The following is a 16986-nucleotide window of genomic DNA, read 5'->3' on the forward strand; positions in this document are numbered from 1 at the left end:
CTATCATTGTTGGACATTTGGATTGGTTCCAAGTCTTTGCTATTGTGAGTAGTGCCACAGTAAACATACGTGTGCATGTGTCTTTATAGCAGCAAGATTTATATTCTTTTGGGTATATACCCAGTAACGGGATGGCTGGGTCAAATGATATTTCTAGTTCTAGATCCCTGAGGAATCGCCACCCTGACTTCCACAATGGTTGAACTAGTTTACGATCCCACCAACAGTGTAAAAGTATTGTTATTATTTGCATTTTGAAAACAGGACACTGAGAAATTAAATAACTTTCTGAAACATATGTCTGTTTATACATTTATTACTTATTTATTTGAGAGACAAGGTCTTTCCATGATGCCCTTGCTGGGGTGCAGTGGTGCAGTCTTGGCTCACTGCAGCCTCAACTTCCTGAGCTAAAGTGATCCAGCCTCCTGAGTAGCTGGATCTACAGGATCATGCCAGCATAAACAGCTAAGTTTTAAAAATTTTTTTGGAAAGATGGTGGTGTTGCTATGTTACCCAGGGTGATCTCAAATTCCTAAGCTCAAGCCATCCTCCCACCTCAGCCTCCCAATGTGCTGAGATTACAGGTGTGAGACACTGCACCTGCGCTTATAAATGTATTGAATACGACTAAACTGTATACTTAAAAGTGGCCAAAATGATAAATGATAGATACATTTTACCACAGTAAAAGCTTTGAAAAACTATGGCTAGTAGATAGTAGATTCAGGATTGGAGCCTGAGTCTACTTGGCTCCCGAGTCTGAGTTCTTGGCTATGGTCATATTCTGCAGATTTGCATAGAGCCCTTACTGAATATTAATCCATTCAGATAGAGAGCAATGTGTGATATTTATCAAGCATAATTAGAGAGAAGACTAGAAGATAAGTGGGGAAGGAGGAGTGCCTAATGTCTCAGGACATGTACTTTAAAATTTATTCTGTGGGTGGACAGAGTTGGCAAATTTTGAACTTTTGAATTCATTCACTCATTTAGTATCAGCCATCCAGCCAATATCTAATAAGGCCCTAATGGAAGACAAGGTGTGTTTAGCTAGGACTAAATGATCAGCAATGTTTCAGACATGTAGACCTGAAAAGCAAGCATCTTGTAAGACAAGATAAACATTATCAACCAAGGCAGGAAGTACGGAAAGTGGCAGTGAATTCTTTGGTAGAACAGTCACAGTCTAGGGTGGCTAGAGTGCTAAATGGGAGAGGGCCTTGAATGACAAAGCATGGGTTTTTAAATCATGTTATGTGGACAGCTATGATTAATGAAACATAAAAGATCATGAAACATCAGCAGGAGAAATCTAAGAAAGGCGTGACACCACAGGTAGGGATGTTTGGTGACTGCAAAGCATGGTACATAGAGTGTAGTTCACCTAATTCATATGGAGGAGGTTTATTACATGGTTAAAGATACAAAGGGTCTTAGGTTCTGAATTTTTGTTAGTTTTGAGGCACAACGTTTGCTTCTATATGCTTTTCTGTAATTGGACATATTTTGGATTGGGTGGTCAGGCTCTTTGATGTGCAGAGATAAATGAACGCTGTTCAGTGGCGTACATCTTTTACAGTTCTCAATAGCAAGAGAAGATGCTGGCATAAAACCCACACAATTGCATTTCTCATAGTAAGTGGTCAGGTGACCTCTTCCCCTCTGTATCCATAGATAGGGGAGAAATTCCTTCCTGAGTGATACCGGGGAGTAGATGGCCTTGTGTCAAGATTCACTGACATCCTGATGGGCCTGCTTTCTCCTGCTGGGAACTGGTGAGCGAGAAAGAAGAGTTATTGTCAAATTCCCAACTTGCCCTTTTTGATATAAAGTTCACTTGTAATTTTTTTTTTACTTGTGTTGCTAATGCATTTTGTTCTCCCAAGTGTGAGAGACCTAGCTTCCTCTGTAGCCTTTAATTAGTTTCTGAATGATGACATGTCTACTGAGAAGCAACTGGTTGCGTCCCTCCAATCTCGGGGGGAGATAAAGGAATCTAATAAAGACATTCGGTATTTCTAGGTGATGTGTTTGACAAGCTTTGTATTAACAAGAAGTCATGTTGAAACTTCTCTCTTTCCCCAACTGCACTGCCTCACTCGCTCCAGCACTGTGACATTTCACAGGGGGATTAACAGAGCTGCCACTCTCGCTGAGAACTTGTAGTTTAAAACAGACAGACCTGTGTCTCTACCCCTCATGCTAAAGGGGAAGGAGCTTCGCCTTGATCTATTCACCAGCCATAACCTTTATGAGGGATTTAGTGGCAATAAGGTCTTGGAACACAAAATCAACGGATAAGTTTCCTTTGACAGCAGTGGGACCACCTCCCAGGATTCAAGATTCAAGGTCGGATAATGAGATGTGTCTTCCTCGCAGCTGCCTAGTTATTCCCTAAGACGGTGGTCACAAGGAGTGTGGGAACAACTCAAGTTTTAATTCTGGCATGAGCAATATTGGGACTGTAGCACTAGAGAGAGGCTGAAACTCTTCTCAGGGCTAATGACCCTCCTTTGCTGAACTCAACTGTGCAGTTATTTGGAGAACAAGAGAAAAATCTCTGGAATTATTTGCACTTTACTGCAGTCATGGGGTGAGGTGTGGTGGGGACTTCACCACAGCCTTCTTACTGCAGTCAGCATAATTCCCTGCTGCATACAGTTTTATAGCTTGTGTTTGAGTGCATAACTACCAGTGCTTTTAGGCAATTAAGAATTAAAGTGCCGATGACGCCATGAAGGCAGCTGAGAATGTAAGTGAGCTTGGCGCTGTTGGCAGCCAGCAGATTGACAGCTCAGAAATGCAGGTTTCTGCAGAGCTGAGAGCCGAGAGCGGCGACCACCTGGGGACAGGGGCTTAGTCTCTATCTGGTTGACCTCCATTTGACCTGAGTGAGGCAGCCTAGGAGAGAGGAATGATTATTACCTGAGTATCTCTTAAGGGCAAGAGGAGAACATTAGCAGAATCATGGCTCAGAGTCTAAGAGGTTACCATGACCTATACATACATACTTACATATTTGTTTACCTGTATGATATCAAGATGTAGAAATACAAACTTCATCCCAGGGTAGAGTAATGGCACAGACTATTATAGCAAAATGTTTTTTCTCTCTGTGAAGTGGGTTTCTGAACAGAAGCAAGGGCATCCAAGGGGCAGAGTTAGCTAACATCTTCCTGATTTTGCAGACAAATGACCCCTATTGAAAAGGTAGTGGGATTACAGAGGTTGAAGTCCTTAGAACTAGAACAGAAGTGTGTGTACCTAGAGTGTCCCTCTAATTGAGGCTGGAGCTGCCAGTGGCACCCTCTACCCATGAGTTTTCTAAGCCTAATGGAATGGGGTCTTGTTCCATTTCTATGAAGATCTTTTGGAGATTGTGGAAAAAGTCTGTCTAGGGGAGAGAAGCAACTAATGGAGTCTGGTATATGATAGAAGTGGCAGTCACCATTGCACAGCTTACAGTATCTGGTCACTTGAGTTTCATGAACATCAGCTGCATTCTTGCTTTGGGAAAGGAAAGTCACAGTAAGGTGCCAGATGCCAAAAGAGCGAAAGACACAGCTTAACGAGGCCTTGCGGTTGAGCCTCAAAGGATATGGCAAGGCTATGGCGGTTGGGAACTACAGGAATAGACAATTCCTGGTGAGAAGAAATTAGAAACAGTGATGTCAGAAATCTCTTGCCAGCCCCTGGCTCTGAGGAGAGGATGGATGTGAAGAAACCTTGCATGTCAGGAGATGTTGCTGAGCACTATAAATAAATCCTGGTCAGCACATCAGGGTTGGTTTTTACAGCAAACAATTATGCTGTTTACCACTAATTCATTGAACTCTGAATTATCTCAATCACAATAGCATTCATTTGCAGAGTGATTAGTAATTCACTAAGTGCTTTCAATTATACCTACATATTTTATTGGATCCCAAATCCCTGTAGGAAGAGCTTGGGTCTGAGAACAGCCACTTTCTAGCTCAGTGGCTTCGAGCACATCATTAGCAGGGTAAAACCTCAGATTCCTGGATGAAAAGGGAGAGTATATGGGAAGCCCTTATTAGGTCTTCAACAAATATTAGTTTTCTCCCATGAGGAATAATATTAAAAAGTCATATTTCCTCTGTTTTTACTTCTGTTCTCTTCCTCACGAAATTATGTAATGAATTAGATTAATTGATTCCTTTCTCATTGTGACGTTATTTCACGTTTTGAGGATCTTTTGCTTGTATACATTTTGGCTGTCAGTTTTCAGGGACACCTTATTAGAGAATCTGCAGTGTGTCTGACATTCTCCATGATGGTTTTGGGTTACTTGTGTAACCTCTCCAAGCTTCAGTTTCTCGACTACACGGTGGGGAATCATGCCTTAGGAGTTACGGTGAGGATTTACAAGGGAGCAGCAAATGTGGAACACCTGGCAAAGTGCTCGGAATAGAAGGTGTTTGGTGTTTCTTTTCTTCCCACCCCATCTATCCTCCCTTCGTGAACTGGTCCCTAAAGAGAGAGGCCTGGTGGTGAAGGGCAATAAAGCCAGTCATATAGCCCCAACCCAAAGCATGCACTGCCATACATGGAAAACACGCACAGCTGGGAAACAGATGGCCCTGTCTGGATGGCAGGTCCACATCATGATCACTGATACACCCCTTATGTTTCCATGTTAAAAAATTGATGAAGAGACACTTCTTAGTAATTTCTTAGATGTGACCCACATAATAGGGCACTTATGATTACAGGTAGTTGCTGTGAAATTCAATTTTTACCATTATGCCCCGAAGCCAAGAGGCATGGAATAAGGAAAGAATGGTATGGACTGCACTCTCTTATGTCTCCATCAGGAATGACTAAAACTCGGTCAAGAGGCAGAGCTCATAAAGACTTCCTTCCACATTTCAGTTGATCCTGAAAGGAACAAGTTCCAATCTTCAGAAGCACTGGTTTATGACTAATCCTGAAAAAATCACTAGGTTTTTTTCCTAGAGCTTCAGGGTTTTCTAGCCAACATGAATGGTTTTACTATGGAGGGCGAGAGAAGGAATGAGATGTAACAAATGACAAAAGGGTTCTGGTGAAGAGAATAATAATCCACTGAGGTTATGCCATTAAGGAGCTTTCTACATTTTCAAGCTCTCATTTGGAATTCTGATTGACTGTAATCTGACCCTTCCGTTCTTGAAAATGATGGCAGCAAGCGCATTGCTGACAAAAGAATGGGGTCCTGTTGCACAGCGCACCCTGGCCTGGGGCCTGAGTCCTCATTTAAAGATGCTGTTTATCCTCAAACCTTGAGCACATCAGCAGGGCGTGTGGTGCATCCCAATGTCCAAACCAAAACAGCCCCCTACTGCACTAAAAATCTCTATTTCTCTTCGTATTGGTCTCTACAGGTACACATTTTTAGTAACACTAAGAAAGGACATTTGATTAATGCTTTATGTATAAAAAGTGATTTCTTAACATTTTAATCTGATCCACAGAACATCTATTTTGAGGAGAAAAGATAGGTGTTGATATATAATGAATACAATCAGAGACTCTAATGATTGCCATGCACTTATACAGCTAGTAACTGTGGGGTGTGGGCTTAAAACCTCGGCTTCTGATATGAAGCTTAGGGTTCTTTTTTTATCAAAAGAGACCTTAGGGATCTTCATGTATATTCCCATGATTCCATGTGCGTTTGTTATTTTTCTAACCCATATTATTTCCATTTGAAAAAACACTGCGCGGTGGCACATGCCTGTAATCCCAGCACTTTGGGAGGCTGAGGCGGGCAGATCACGAGGTCAGGAGATCGAGACCATCCTGGCTAACACGGTGAAACCCTGTCTCTACTAAAAATAACACACACACAAAAATTAGCTGGGCTTGGTTTCAGGTGCCTGTAGTCCCAGCTACTCGGGAGGCTGAGGCAGGAGAATGGCATGAACCTGGGAGGTGGAGCTTGCAGTGAGCCTAGATCGCACCACTGCACTCCAGCCTGAGCAATAGAATGAGACTCCATCTCAAAAAACAAAAAACAGCAACAACAACAAAAAAAAAACACTGCAATTTTCAGCTGTATGTCCTTGAACAAGTTCCTTGACTCCTCTGAGTATCGGTATCCTCATCTGTAAAGTGTGGGAACTAATTAGGATGACCAATGCATCCCCATTTGCCTGAAATGCTTTTGGTTTCAGCAGTGAAAGTTTTATGTCTCAAGAAACTCTCCAATTCCAGGTAGACCTGGGCAGTTGGTTGCCTTAGAGAGAATATCTATTTGTGGGGTTCATACAGTGAAAAATAAAATAAAGGTAATATAGCCAAACACCTGTTATACAGCAGGTATTTAATAAATGGTAATTATCAACATCATTATGTTCACTTACAGTCCTTGGGGGCAATTTAAAGATCTTGAGGAAATTCAGTCATTTCAATTTGTTTGCATTTGCATACAGCCTTGAGAGAATACAGTAATTCATTCACTCAGAAAAATTGTTGAACACAAACGATGCCAGGCATTATGATATGTGATGACCATTTTCAATGAACGAGACACCAGTGGAGCTTACATTGTACTTAGGAGAGGCAGACAGTTGTGTAGCAAGCCAGGCAGGCTGGGGGTTCTCTTGTAGAAAGGGGGTTTGAGGAAGCCTTCTGTGAGGAGCTGAAATTGAAATAATTAGACAGAACCAATGTGAGTAGCAGGAGAAAGGCAAGTGTGAAGGATGGAGTCAAAGGTGGGCTTGAGGCATTTGAAGAGGACAGGTGGCCAGCAGGGTGAGGAAGGGAGAATGCTGTGGGAAGAGCATGGAGAGGGAGGCGGCATCCAGAGTGTGCAAGGCCTTTGAGACCAAAGAAGGAGTTTGCCTTCATGCTCCATGACAGATTCATCTCTCCGTTCAGTGTGGATGAGAGAAGGGAGGTCCTAACCAAGCACATTTGCCACAGCCTGAATCCCACCTGAACCACTCAACTGTGCCTAGGCTTCGCTTGGGTACACAGTGGCCCTTGGGAAAAGATGGATTTTTCTCAAAACCAACACCTGCTTGGTTGCATCTTTCCAAGCTTTCCAATCTGGGTTGGACATTCATGCACCAGGCTGTTCTCATAGGCCTTAGTGTCTCTGCACGTGGTCTGGAAGCCAGAAAGGTTAAGAGCACTCCAGATTTGTCCCATTAATTCTGTAAAGACAAAGGTCCCTAAAGAGGCCTTAGCAGTGAAGCAGCCCTTGCTGTGAGAACTGCCCGGAGGAGATGCGGGCATCTCCAGTCTTCAAGATAGAGGAGAGGCAGGAGGGGAACCCCCACTGCCAGCCAAGGAAGCCATCTGGGATCTGTAGATCTGCATGCGCCGTGCAGTTACCTGGTCCAAGTGGCTTATGTGCATTCTCAGCCCCACAGGACTGCACAGTGCTTCATAAAGCATCCTGATTTGGATTTAATAGGATATCCACTGTGTGCTAAAAACAGCAAATTGCTATTTATTAATGACATAATTATTAAAACTCAACACCTGGGCAGTGGAAGCTAAACCAAGAGTAGGGAAGTTCCTCAGAATACTGTTTTAATAATTATCTTATTTAATTATTTACACATTTGAATTAAAATTCAATAAGAGCCGGATTAAACATTAACCTAATGTATTAAACATGGAACTGTATCCAAACAGCATGGCTCCCTTGGCTTCTGTCTTTCTTCCTAAACATACCCTAACCACTCCTTGGTCTTTCGGTTTCTATAATTGGTATATTTTCTAGATTCAGCTCTCAGAAGCCAGGAGGCACCACATACATGCCTGTGGGTAAAAGCCAATGACCTTTTCAAAGGACTCTTCCACTCATAGCAGGTCTAATTTACTATTGGCACGTCAGTTCTTACCCCTCTGCTCTTTACCTTTCATGTGGATTCTCAAACTGGGATCTTGCCCAGACCTCCGATCCTCTGATTCCAACTGCTAACATAATAGTAATATTCTTCCTGGATGTCCCTCATCATCTCACCATCAGCAAGTCTAAGATAGAATTAATCACACTAATGTTCTCCCCAAAAGTAGTTCCCCCTAGAAGGTCTAGGGGTCTCCCTGTGCAGCCGTCCAGATGCTACTTAACAGAACGGCATTCCTGCTCGACCCCATCTCCCTGGTTGTCCTCCTAGCAACCATTTGTGCATTTTTCCTGGGCATGGCTCTCCAATCCATCCCTTGCTTTTCATCTTTTCAGAGCCAACAGTTTAATCCAGGCTTTGAACATCACTGTCGATTGATTTCTGTGACTCCAGTTTCTGTCTATTTTACTCCATCTGACACAATGTTAACAGATTCTTTTTCTTAAAATAAATTTTTAAAAAATTACGACATTTCTTTTAAAAAACTTCAAATGCTTGTCACTGCCTGTAGGATAGAGCTAAAACCTAGGCACTAGGCATTCACGCCCTTCCATCATCTGGCTGTCATTCACTTCATGATCTTGTATCCCATTTTTCATTGATTCTGTCAAAATTTATGGACTGTCCATTCTGTGTTGACACTGCATATATGTGTTTGCCAAGCACATACAATATTAAAACTCACTCATTGAGCACTTCACATTGCCAGAAACTGTTCTCAATGCATTTCATAACTTACTCCTATGTCTTTGAAACAGTCTTTATGAGGTTCAGACAGTTATTAGCTCCATTTTATAAATGTGGAGAGCAAGACACAGGCAGGTGAAGTAACTTGGCCAAGGTTGCCCAGTTAGAACATAGTAGAGCCGGATCTCAGCCCCTGCTCTGCGTTGCCTCTTGTAGTCAATAGACATTGTATTTCTTCAGTTTGTGGATTTCTGCCTTCCCATCTGTGCCCATGCAATTCTGTCCCATTTGAAACAGCTTCACTTTTTCTGCCTAGATACCTGTTTCTCATTTGTTGAGACCTAAAATAAACTCCAATTTGAGGTGAAGCCATCTCTGGAACTCTCTCTAGCTGTTATCCTCCCTCCTAGTAACTCATAGCACTTAAAGTTTGTACTGTTCATTCACATTCAATCATACACAATTTTCCAACATATTTTGCCTTGTTATTCAACTCTCTGGAATGTTTACATGCCCTGTTTCCTCAAACAGATTGTAAGTTCATAGAGGGCCAGGCAAATTGGTATATGTCTGCATGTCTTTCATATACCTAGCACACCATTGTGTAACAGTAGGTGTTCACAAAATGTTCATTGGATGACTTTTGGCCCAGCTTCTAAAGCAAGGGTCTCCAAACCTCAGGCCACATACCGATACTGCTCTGTGGCCTGTTAGGAACCAGGCCACACAGCAGGAGGTGAGCAGCTGGTGGGTGAGTGAGTGAAGCTTCTTTTGTATTTACAGCCACTCCCCATTGCTGGCAATACCGCCTGAGCTCTGCCTCCTGTCAGATCAGTGGCAGCATTAGGTAGGAGCACGAACCCTTATTGTGAACTGCCCATGCGAGGGATCTAGGTCGTGCACTCCTTGTGAAAATCTAATGCCTGATGATCTGTCACTATCTCCCATCACCCCCAGATGGGACCCCCTAGTTGCAGGAAAACAAGTTCAGGGTTTCCACTGATCCTACATTATGGTGAGTTGTATAATTATTTCATTATATGTTACAACATTACAATGTAATAATAATATAAATACAATGCATAATAAATGTAATGTGCTTGAATCATCCTGAAACCATTCCTTCCCGCATCCCCAGTTCATGGAAAAAATTATCTTCCATGAAACCTGTCCCTGGTGCCAACAAGGTTGGGGACTACTCCTCTAAAGTAGACTTCTTCCATTAACAGTTGTGCCTGGCCACAAAATGTCTTACTGATAGTGCTTGCCTTATGTTGTCTCCTTTGCCTAGGATATCTTTCCTCCTTTTCTCTCCAGATATGATTAATTTTTACTTACTCCTAGGGCTTAACTTAGGCATCACATATCTAAGAAGCCTCTTGTGGCATCCATGTCAAGGTTGGCTTAGATGTATATCCTCTGTGTCTCCATAACACGTGATTCACCATTCTGTGTCACCATACATTAGAATATTAGGCTTCTGCATCTATTTTGATATCTTGAGGCTGTGAACTCCTTGAGGAAAAGGATGGTATCTTATTTAGTTTATGTCTCTAATGCTTGGCACAATGCTGGCATATGGAAAGTGATCAATGAATATTGAAGAAGGAGTGAATGAATGAAAATAAGCAAAACAATCCTAGTATGTTTCTAACAGTCTGAGTGATGAGAAGTCAGATATAGAATGTATCCATGGAAACAATATAAAAATATAAGTAGCCCTATCTCACACTTGGTCAGAAGCTTCCTTATGAGGATGGCTTAGCTAAAACCACAGTGCACCCTAATCAATTCAAGTAGTCTTGAATACTGACAATGTACTAGAAGTTGCCACCTAGAAAATCATATTTTGACTCCCTTAGCATCTTAGGCATATGCCAATTTGTTTCTGATAATTGGGATTGCTCCCCTAGTCAAACCACCTCATCTCTATGCCATGAATGATCTGTCTTTCTCACTCACCCAAGGGCAATTTGCCTCCTTCAAACTGTATTCTTAGGCAGAATTTAAAGGACAGCAAGCACTTCTCAACTTCTACCTCATGAGTTGGATATTTTCCAATTATTAGTGGGGGGAGACAATTCTAGATGATTCTTCCAAGCATGAGGTGCGATTGTCTCATTTAATATACTTACTGCACTGACAGCTCTGGCCCAAACCACCTTCTGTCCTGCTTGGGGACTGTCCATTGTTCTCTAGTGTATGATTAGCAGATTACCTATCATGCAGGAAGCCAGGAAAATGAACTCACAGTAAGCCCTTCCAAAGCAAGAGTAATTCATTACCCGGCCTGATTTCCACTTAAAATGTACTTTAAGCACACTTCCAACTACAAACCCTAAATCACCCTGTGTTCACAAAGTCCATCATTTTTTATTTTATTGCATGGCATTGGCGTGACATAATCCCTTGCAGAGCATCTCGGAGTGCTTTACAGATCAATAAATTACTTACCTGCACAGTTGAAGCAACGTCTGCAAGGCCAGCACAGACATTCTGCAGGCAGCCTGTCCTCCAGGAAGCAAGCAAGGCTGTGTGGGTGCTAAGAGTGAGCAGGGACAGGGACCAGCAAACGTATGGGTTGGTGTTGGGGGGTGGGGGAAGGAGGTGGCTGGTGCATGAGATGGGAATGCTCTAGTTAAAACTCTGAATAAAACACATCAAAGTGTCTATTTTTGCAATGATCAATTTAAATGATTCCAGAACTAAGAGAATTTAGAAGCTTGTACCCTTCAGGCAGTCAGCAAATCAAATGCTCAGTCATTAACTCATCAGTTACCTTTCTGTCCTGGAAGGCTCCATGTAGCTTTTAAAATGATATAACCATAAATGGCATTGTTACATCTTAAAAGTCCCAGATTATAGAGCTAGCATTCTCTCTCCTCCAACCCTTGTCCATGTCCACTCTCCATTATTTCTGTCCCACCAAATGCTTATGGGAGTGCAATTGAGTGTGTATGTGTATGTGTGTGTGTGTGCATGCATATGCAGAGACACACACGCTGCCTATCTGAAGCTCAATGAGGATGGAAATCTAAAAATGATTAACTGTTGCTTACTCTGTGTAACATACCCTATTTAGGACAGCAAAAAACTAAAAAGTTAAATGAGGATCTTTTCAAATATCTTATATTAATGTAATTTATAGTATAAAAGGAAAGGTGGGAACATGTTACATAAAAGTTTACTTTAAATGCCGTATAGGAGACACTACAGTGCTGTGGAATCCCCAGGAAGGAGAGGTCACATCCTCTTCAGGTTCATCTGGACAGCCTTATTAAAGGGGTGGTAATTCTCTCAGGCCTTGAACAATTTTAATAGATGTGGATAGGCACAGAGAAGAGTGTAAGCACTGAAGTCAGCAACAAGGGCATGGGGATAAGGAGATAGCTCAGTGCAGCACAGATAAGTACAGCACACGCTTATTAATGATGAGCATTTCAATTGGGTGGATGCAGGACATACATGGAAGGTAACACTGGAGAAGGAGAGAAGGGGAAGAAGGCTAAGATATCTTTATAAACTCCCTTTTCATGAAGGAAAAGATCCAACACAACTAGGAATGAGTGAGTAATGGTTCAAGTAGAGGCAAGACCAGCATTAAAATTTGCAAACCCATCTGATTTTAGTGTGAGGGCCCCACTCTGACCTCGCAACAAGCAATAAAGTCATCGTGCAGCTTCCCTGGGCTCTCCGGCAGGCCCGATCACATTGTAAGCCAGGTGGATGGTGTGCTTTAGAATTGCACAGCATGGTGGCTCTGAGGAATAGTTATTCAAGGAAAGAATATAACATGAAGAAACAGAAGAGTGCTGGATGGAGGGGACACTTAACTTGCCAAGAACTAAGAAGTCAAAACCAGCATCAGGAGGGTTGAAAGAATATCTGCCAATGACCCAACTCTGAGGTTGGTATGGACACGTTGCACACAGGTTGGGAAGGTGGTTCCCTTGAATAACCATTATCACTCAATTCTGTAAATATTTGTTGAGCTCTTAGCGTGGATACAGATATAAGTAACACATTGTTCAGGTCATCAGAAAGCTCATGGCCTAGTGGGTGATGCTAAGCACATAACCATAGCATAGTGAAATAACTGTCTAGAATTGGAGTGTGGGAGCTCAGTAAATGACATCTTTACTCCATCCACTTGAATGTTAAAACACATAAGACAGATAAGTAGACACATGGAACCAAATATCACATGTTTACTAGTGGTAAAGCTGAGACTGGAGAATTAGGCTCAGATGTGCAGCAACAATGAGGTTCTACGACTGGACCCCGGAAAGAAACGCACACACATGCAATGGCTGGATGTTCCACAGGCCCTATCCAGTCCTTGTGGGTGCTGCTTCTGAAAATAAGCACATGGAGGAGCACAACATAATATAAGCTTCAGAAGGTTCCAAAATAGAAGACCAAAGGAAGTAGACATCCTGTCTCCAACTTTACCTATTAGAATGAACCCCTTCTCTCCCTAGGGGGAGTCATTTAGTGGAGAAAGAAGGTGGGGGAGAGAGAGAGAGAGATGTTATGGCTAACTGAGGCTTAATTTGATTCCCCACCAGGTGTGTAGAATGTGCTCTGGGCACATGGATGAAGAAGCAGCAGTCAATTTGAGATGTCCAAAAGGGCAGAGAAGTATAGAGGGTAGGGAAAGTTTCAACAAAGAAAGTGGCATTTGCTTTGGGCCTTAAGGATGGCTGCGCGTGCACTTTGATAGGCTGAGGCTGGTGAATTGCTTGAGCTCAGGAGTTTGAGACCAGTCTGGGCACATGGCAAAACCTTGTCTCTACAAGAATAAACATAAACATTAACAAGGAATGGCGGCACATGCCTGCAGTCCCAGCTACTTGGACTGAGGTGGGATTGTTTGAGCATGGGAGGTCAAGGCTTCAGTGAGCCATATTTGCACCACTGCACTCCAGCCTGGGTGACAAAGTGAAACCCTGTCTCAAAATAAAAATGAAAACGAGAATGGCTGGGAGTTGCCCAGGAAGGATAAAAGGAACAATATGAACCCAAATACTTTATGCCCAGACAGGGCATGATGGAGAACAAGGGAGTCAGCAGAGGTGGGATCACTGGGGATGGCCATGGAAAGGTGGGCTGATGCTTGATTCTGCATGGCCTCATGCCTAGAAGGAGTCAGGCTATGACCAGGTGGCCATGGGGAGCCACTGGAGCTGTTTAGACAGAGATGTGATATGATCAGAATTGCATTCTTTCAAGACATCGCTGAATGCAGTGTGGAGGATGGCTCGTGGATATGTGTTGGAGGTGGGTGGGGGTGAGTGGATACAGGAAGAGGGTGGAGGCTAGGAGAACAGCTATTCCAGTGTTGCAGTAGAATTTATTCCCATTCGGACTCCCTGACTTTGTGTTTAAATAGGAGGAAATCAAAGCTAAATTAAAGGTAAGACTTTTTTATGTTTAAGGTAATTCCTCTAATTTCTTATCGTTAACTTACTGTAGTCCATATATTTTACTCTCTGGACTGTTCTGCCAACTACCATGTTAAGACAACTAAGAAATGTTTCAGGAGGATTTTTATTTTCATTCTGTCTTGTTTCCACAGTATCTCCCAAAATTGTAGAGATTTCTTCAGATATCTCCATTAATGAAGGGAACAATATTAGCCTCACCTGCATAGCAACTGGTAGACCAGAGCCTACGGTTACTTGGAGACACATCTCTCCCAAAGGTAAGAGAACAGTTTGTTGCATTGCATCATGAGGATAAATGGGGGAATTTTGGGCCTTTGGTAGGAGGTTATGGGTGCTGATACCTACTCCAGAGGAGTCTACGTTTTTGGTGGCTTGATGGTAATCTACTCATGGCTCTGCAGAGAACGTTGATGTTCTCTGCAAAACAGCCATACCCTCTAAGATTTCAGAATTCATACCTCAGTATCTCTCCAGTCCCTTGGAAATTAATCTCTGTTGTCTCTGGGTGAAATGGTGGTAAGGTGTTCTGGGTGAACTTTACATGTTGTTTGATGATGGAACAAAGCTTTAGTGGCAATTGTTCAGCTGGTTGTTTTAAAATAGAGAAAACACATAATGATGGGTGAGAGCTTTAAATGGCCATATTCCTAAAAGGAGATTCTCCAAGTCTGTGCCTCTGCAGCCTTGCCAAAAATCTGGTCACGAGCTGTTTTTGTGGTTTTGTTGTTGTTTTACTCCGATTGATCCTAGAGAACAAATATAACTTAATATGTGACTAAATTGCAAAAATTTACTTTATCTGAATGCTCAGATGTTACGTAGACCAAAGTGTTGTTTTGTGCTTTCATGGATTGTACATTAAAACCTTTAGAATTTGAGACAAGATGTCATTTATTATTAAGCTAGCTTTTATTTGGGAACAAGAAAGATAAAAATATTTCATTCTTAAATATTTATTGAGTGCTTGTAATAGTCCAGCCTCTCTTCTAGGCACTGGGGGTTACAGCAATAAGCCAAAGCGGTGAAGTTTTCACACTCATGAACTCACATTCTCATGAGACAGATGACAAAAAAAAAAAGAGTATGCAATATAACAGGTGGTATTAAGGGTGAGAAAATAGAACAGGATGTGTTGACAGAATGACAAGAGCTTTCTTCAGAGAAGGGCTCTGAAAAGAAGATATTTGTGCAGAGACATGAACAGTGGTCCTTAATTGTGTTGCTTATTGCTGATTAATGTGAAATGTGTGTATGTGATTATGTATGTATATATGTGCCGGTGTGCACAGATGGATGAAGGTGTGTGATTGGCATGAAAGACGCATATTAGGGGGTGCTTTTGGTCTCAACTCCCATGGAAGGGAAAAGTGGGAAACAGAATTGGGCAGGTTAGAAGCTGGCTTGTGCAGTAGGACATCTCGGCTGAGCCTACGGGGAGCTCTGAAGCTAGGATTGCCCTTCAGAAGGTTCCCTTATTGAGGTGATGGAGCTGGTCCTCTACATCGGCACAGCAGTCCAAATGTAGGCTGATCCCCAAACAGGTGTGACTGTGGGCCAGGCATCTCTCTTCACATGAGACACAGGGGGCTGACCACCGAGGGCTATCCACCAGCAGCCGGTCCTTCTGTGAGGCATAAGTCCTCTGCTCCTGAAGGTGACTGTGCATGACAGTGTCCACTATACTTCAACATTTTAATAAATCAGAGTAAGACTATGAAGGGGCCCCAAGTACCAAATTCTAGACAGTGACAGTTGGCCCTAATGGATGTTCTCAGAGAAGGCGTGACATTTTCAGTTGTGTGTGGCCTGAATTCCTGGGAGCTGTCCTGGGCCACCATTCTTTTTTTTTTTTTTTTTTTTTTGAGACGGAGTCTCGCTCTGTCGCCCAGGCTGGAGTGCAGTGGCGGGATCTCGGCTCACTGCAAGCTCCGCCTCCCGGGTTCACGCCATTCTCCCGCCTCAGCCTCCCAAGTAGCTGGGACTACAGGCGCCCGCCACTACGCCCGGCTAATTTTTTGTATTTTTAGTAGAGACGGGGTTTCACCGTTTTAGCTGGGATGGTCTCGATCTCCTGACCTCGTGATCCGCCCGCCTCGGCCTCCCAAAGTGCTGGGATTACAGGCGTGAGCCACCGCGCCCGGCGGGCCACCATTCTTGACACTGTAACTGTGAACAAGGGGTCTTTGAAAGCTATTCATGTGTCTGCCAGTCTCTCCATTTGAAATGACCTCACATGTGGACTGGCCCAAAATCAGGGAGGAAGCTTCAGCTGTGCATGAGATCATTAGTGATGGAAAATGGCCCTGGGCCCTTCTGAAGGAGGGGCCATTCAGACAGGTGCATGCTAAGTCCGCGGTGTGCACCATTCATCACAGCCTGATGTGAGTCCCCAGTGCTGGCGGATGCCAGCCCAGTCTGTGCCTTTGGAGTCTGCAGAACATTTATCATCAGGGTAAGCTTCCTGTGCCTGATGTCAAGAGGCTCTGTCTTCTGTTTGATGTCTCTTCTCATTCCCTCATCTGGCCAGTTCTTTGTCCTTTTCTGGGTGTTTCTTCCCCCACTTCTCCTGCATGCGTCTCCTTTTTGTCCTGCCATTTTATGCCTATAACTTCCCGATAAGTTATTTTTGTTGTTGTTCTATGCTTTGGCTTTCTCTTGCAGCGTCTGAAATGTTTCTGCTTTAATTTCATTATTTTCCACATTCTCTCTTCCCTCCTTGCAATTGTTTGTTGTCTTCCCCTCTGACATTTGAGCCTCTTGGGTTTGCCTGGCTGATGTTCACAAGGCTGTGTGTTAGAGTCTTTTGTTTCCCCTTTTGTGACCATCGAACAGATTCATTTCCCAAGGGAACTTTTGCCTGAGCCTGGGCCAGGTGTCCCATTTTACTGAGGTTTTAGCTGCTATGGAAACAGAAGATGGAGCAAGGAAAGAGGAGCAGGACAATCAGAATGTACCTGTGGATTAATTTACATGAACAGTGTTTTCCA

General features: G+C 43.0%; 1 protein-coding gene across 45 annotated transcripts in view; it reads left to right on the top strand.

The window, feature by feature from the left end:
- NTM (neurotrimin) overlaps nt 1-16986 on the top strand; it is a 966208-nt gene that overhangs the window by 827277 nt on the left and 121945 nt on the right. For 41 of the 45 annotated variants that reach the window (NR_170352.1, NR_170351.1, NR_170346.1 and 38 more), the window contains one exon: nt 14131-14256. Coding sequence is in view for 19 of the 45 variants with exons in the window: in NM_001352006.2 (NP_001338935.1) it covers nt 14131-14256 (126 nt within the window). In the remaining 26 variants the exon portion in view is untranslated. Of the gene's footprint in view, nt 1-13884; nt 13969-14130; nt 14257-16986 lie in introns of those variants that run through there. The other 4 variants (NR_170362.1, NR_170363.1, NR_170364.1 and 1 more) reach the window with 1 other exon arrangement.

The sequence above is a fragment of the Homo sapiens genome, chromosome 11, assembly GCF_000001405.40.
Source record: "Homo sapiens chromosome 11, GRCh38.p14 Primary Assembly".
Classification (NCBI taxonomy): Eukaryota; Metazoa; Chordata; class Mammalia; order Primates; family Hominidae; genus Homo; species Homo sapiens.